This window comes from Homo sapiens, chromosome 3 (genome assembly GCF_000001405.40).
Source record: "Homo sapiens chromosome 3, GRCh38.p14 Primary Assembly".
NCBI classification, from domain to species: domain Eukaryota; kingdom Metazoa; phylum Chordata; class Mammalia; order Primates; family Hominidae; genus Homo; species Homo sapiens.
The window spans coordinates 102,338,849-102,342,086 of NC_000003.12; the positions used below are offsets into that span (position 1 = coordinate 102,338,849).

The following is a 3,238-nucleotide window of genomic DNA, read 5'->3' on the forward strand; positions in this document are numbered from 1 at the left end:
ATACTGAAGTGCATGACACAAAAAAATTGAAAACCCAGACTCTTACCCCTCACTATCCCATAATTTGGCTTCCTAGAGGGAGCTAGAATTAATGGTTTTGTATCTCTTCTTTTGGAATATATCTCTCTGTGTGTATGTGTGATATACTGTAACTTGCTTTTTTATTCTCAACAACATATTGCAGCTATCCTTCCATGTCAATATGTAAGTATCTTCTGTAGTTTATGGATATACTATAAATTTTTAAACCAATCCCGAATTGGTTGTTTCTAAATTTTTAAAAGTAAATAACCGGTAATGAACAGATTTTTTTTAACATTTATCATTTGTAATACACTTTAAGGACATAAAATGACAGAAAGGACATAGGGGCATGAAATAGCTGCATTTTATTGTAAATTGTTAGCTATATTATGAAAATCAAGCACTCTACTTCTGCATAATACCAAGATAGCATCCCTCCCTACTTACTGGCTGAGAATCCTGCTTTAGGCTAATTCTCCAGATCTGAAAATAAAGATTCTACTGCAAGGTTCTGCTAAGGATGACAATCATGAATTTGCTTTGATAGTTGCAAATGCAAGTAATTAAAAGATAGGCCCCTGCTTCCCCTTCTTTCTTGAGTTAGTGCTTCAGGGCAAAGGATCAGAAACTCCCCTGCAGAGCTGCCCTAACAATGTTTAATGAGCACTAGGGAAAGCTTAGTTTTTTATGCCTAAGGCTTCACCACTTTTACTGAGTAGTAAGATCAGAAGGATTGCAGCCTAAAAGGTGTTCTTCCTTATGACTCCTGTACACCTTCAGATTCCACACACGTTGAGGCTCTCATTAAGGTTGCGGTTGTGATGCCTGCCTCAAAGGAGGGGATTGACAGTTATTATGATCAACAGGGCTGACAGTTTGGATTTTGGCTTTTTCAGTGGTGTTGCTTTAATATTCAGCACAAAGTCTTCCAGCTGCCACCTGTCCTCACTCATCTGTAGACTGGAGGTCTCTCCAGTAGGGCCTGGCCTTGCTCCTCCTTTGACCACTGCCTGGCCGTCCTCATTCCCATCCTGGGGTGAGTCATTATCTCTGGTCCTACTTTGTATCAAGGAGTTCAAGAAGGTTTTTGTTCTATTTGGACACTTGCTTTTTTCTGACATCAGCTGAAATCTCAATGACTTCACAACCTTCCCTCCCTCCCCTACTCATCAACCTGGGTGCCAATTGATTCCAAGTCCTCTGAAGAATTCTGTCGTCTTTCTTTGCCTTCTTTTAGATTTTTTTCCTTACCCTCTCTCTAATGTTTGTGTTTACTTTTTGAACTTTTAATCAATATCAAATAAAAACAAATCTAGACTTAAGTAAGGAGATACTTTATTGCAAGAGGGGGAAAGAGACCTTTGCAACAGTGGAAGGGACACTATTGCAATAGGGAGAATGCTTGGGCCATGAGATCGGCAAGCATCTGAAAGGTTGGTCAGATAAGCCTTGTCTTTTAGAGGGAGGAATAAACAAGGAATAACAAGAACTAGATGTGAGGAAATAGGATGAGTGAGTGGCTGTGAAAAGCCACAAGACAAGTGAATGTTTTACACCAAGGTCAATATGCTTTTGGGAAGGGCTCTATGCTGGCCCAGACTGAGGCTGGATCAATGGCCAGGGGCCTGGAAGAAGGAGAGAAGTTAACCAATGGGGACAAAACAGTCAACTAATCATTCATAAGGCCAAGAACAGGAAGAGGAATTTGGAGCTTCTGCGTCTGATCTTGTCATACGTAGACAAGAAGGGGCATCTATGAGTCTTGCATAAGTCATGTGGGGAAGGATATTTCTTTATAATAAGGTGGTTTCCATGGAGAGATTTAACAGTCGCTGTTTCCCAGGATCACAGTGTTCACGCAAAGTTCAGTGTTGCTGTTGGTCATCCTCATTCTTTGTCCCCAATGTGACTATTCTTTTCAGAAATGTGGTTTCTGACTCCCTCATGCCTGCACTTGAGATTCACTAGGCTTATCATTACCTCTCTCAGCTCTTGTCTTACCTAAATTTTTTTCTTTGGAATTTCTGTTGCTATTATTTTAAAAAATGTTCTTAACTTATAAAAGAGTGATGAAAGTATGTAAAAGAAAGTGGAGTCAATTCCACTGAAGCCACAGGAACTGAGAGCTTGATGGGTGGCTTTCCAAATGATAATTGGTGCCAAAGAAGTGGGAAAGGGTAGGGCAGGATAATAATCATTTTTCGTTTTTTTACATGATTAAGTGAAGGTTTAAAATACAAAGCCTTTGGGGAGAAAAAGGTAATTTTGTAATAAAAATGCAGCACATGCCGATGGCCTAAGAAGTATGTAAAAAATTACAGCAAAAAGTTACTGACTCTGCTTATTCACTCCCTTATTTTAGATCCATTATCCAGAAACAATACTTTTTATGTTTTCACTTATTTATTCTGTTAGATACTCCCATATCTTTTATTAATATGCCAATAAAATGTATCTTTCTTTATTAATCTAAATAGTGTCATTAATTCCCTGATAGGCCGGCACTACATAGTCCTATATCCTGCTCACTGCTACTTTTAGTCCAATTGATGAATGGTATAAATATATTGCTATGATTATAGAAATATTTTTATTGAAAAACAATATACTATTTTAATGTTTCTTTTCCTGTGTGGTTTTTGTTTTGTTTCCTGCAGCTCACCATTACCTTTTATTTCACTTACATTCTTTTTTCACAGTTTCAGTTTTCTCAAATTCTCATTATATCTGGTAGTTCACTTCCACATTTTACCATGATCCTGGAGTCCTCTTTTGCCCTTCTCCACTCTGTACCATGGAACTCTAGATAAGCTTCATGACTGCCATGTAGGTTTTTCTTCTCTATTTTTTTTTTTCCAAGTTAGATCCTCTATTTTCTTGTCTTCTTTCTTGGTTTACTTTCTCCTTTTGCAGAAGTCACATTTTAAGTAACTTTCTATGAAAAGGTGATAGGGAGGTACATTGTTTGAGTTTTAAAGTATCTCCATTCTGCTCTTTTATCTAACCAGTAATTTGGATAGGTGTAGGGGTCTAACTACAAATCATTTTTCCTTACAACTTTGAAGGCATTGCTTTGAAACAATGGCTTTCTAGCATTCAGCATGGCTGTTGAAAACGCTGCTGTAATTTCCTTGCTACTTCTTTGTTGATGGTCTGTTTTTCCTCTGGATTCCTTTAAATACTCTCTTTATACTTGGTGTTCTAATATTTCACT

General features: G+C 37.7%; 1 annotated feature.

The window, feature by feature from the left end:
- Positions 369-877: an enhancer, noted in NCBI's record as "NANOG hESC enhancer chr3:102058061-102058569 (GRCh37/hg19 assembly coordinates)". NCBI's record gives its function as "activates a minimal SCP1, AML or CMV promoter by ChIP-STARR-seq in primed H9 embryonic stem cells {active_cell/tissue: H9 hESC(primed)}" and the evidence as "EXISTENCE:reporter gene assay evidence [ECO:0000049][PMID:30033119]".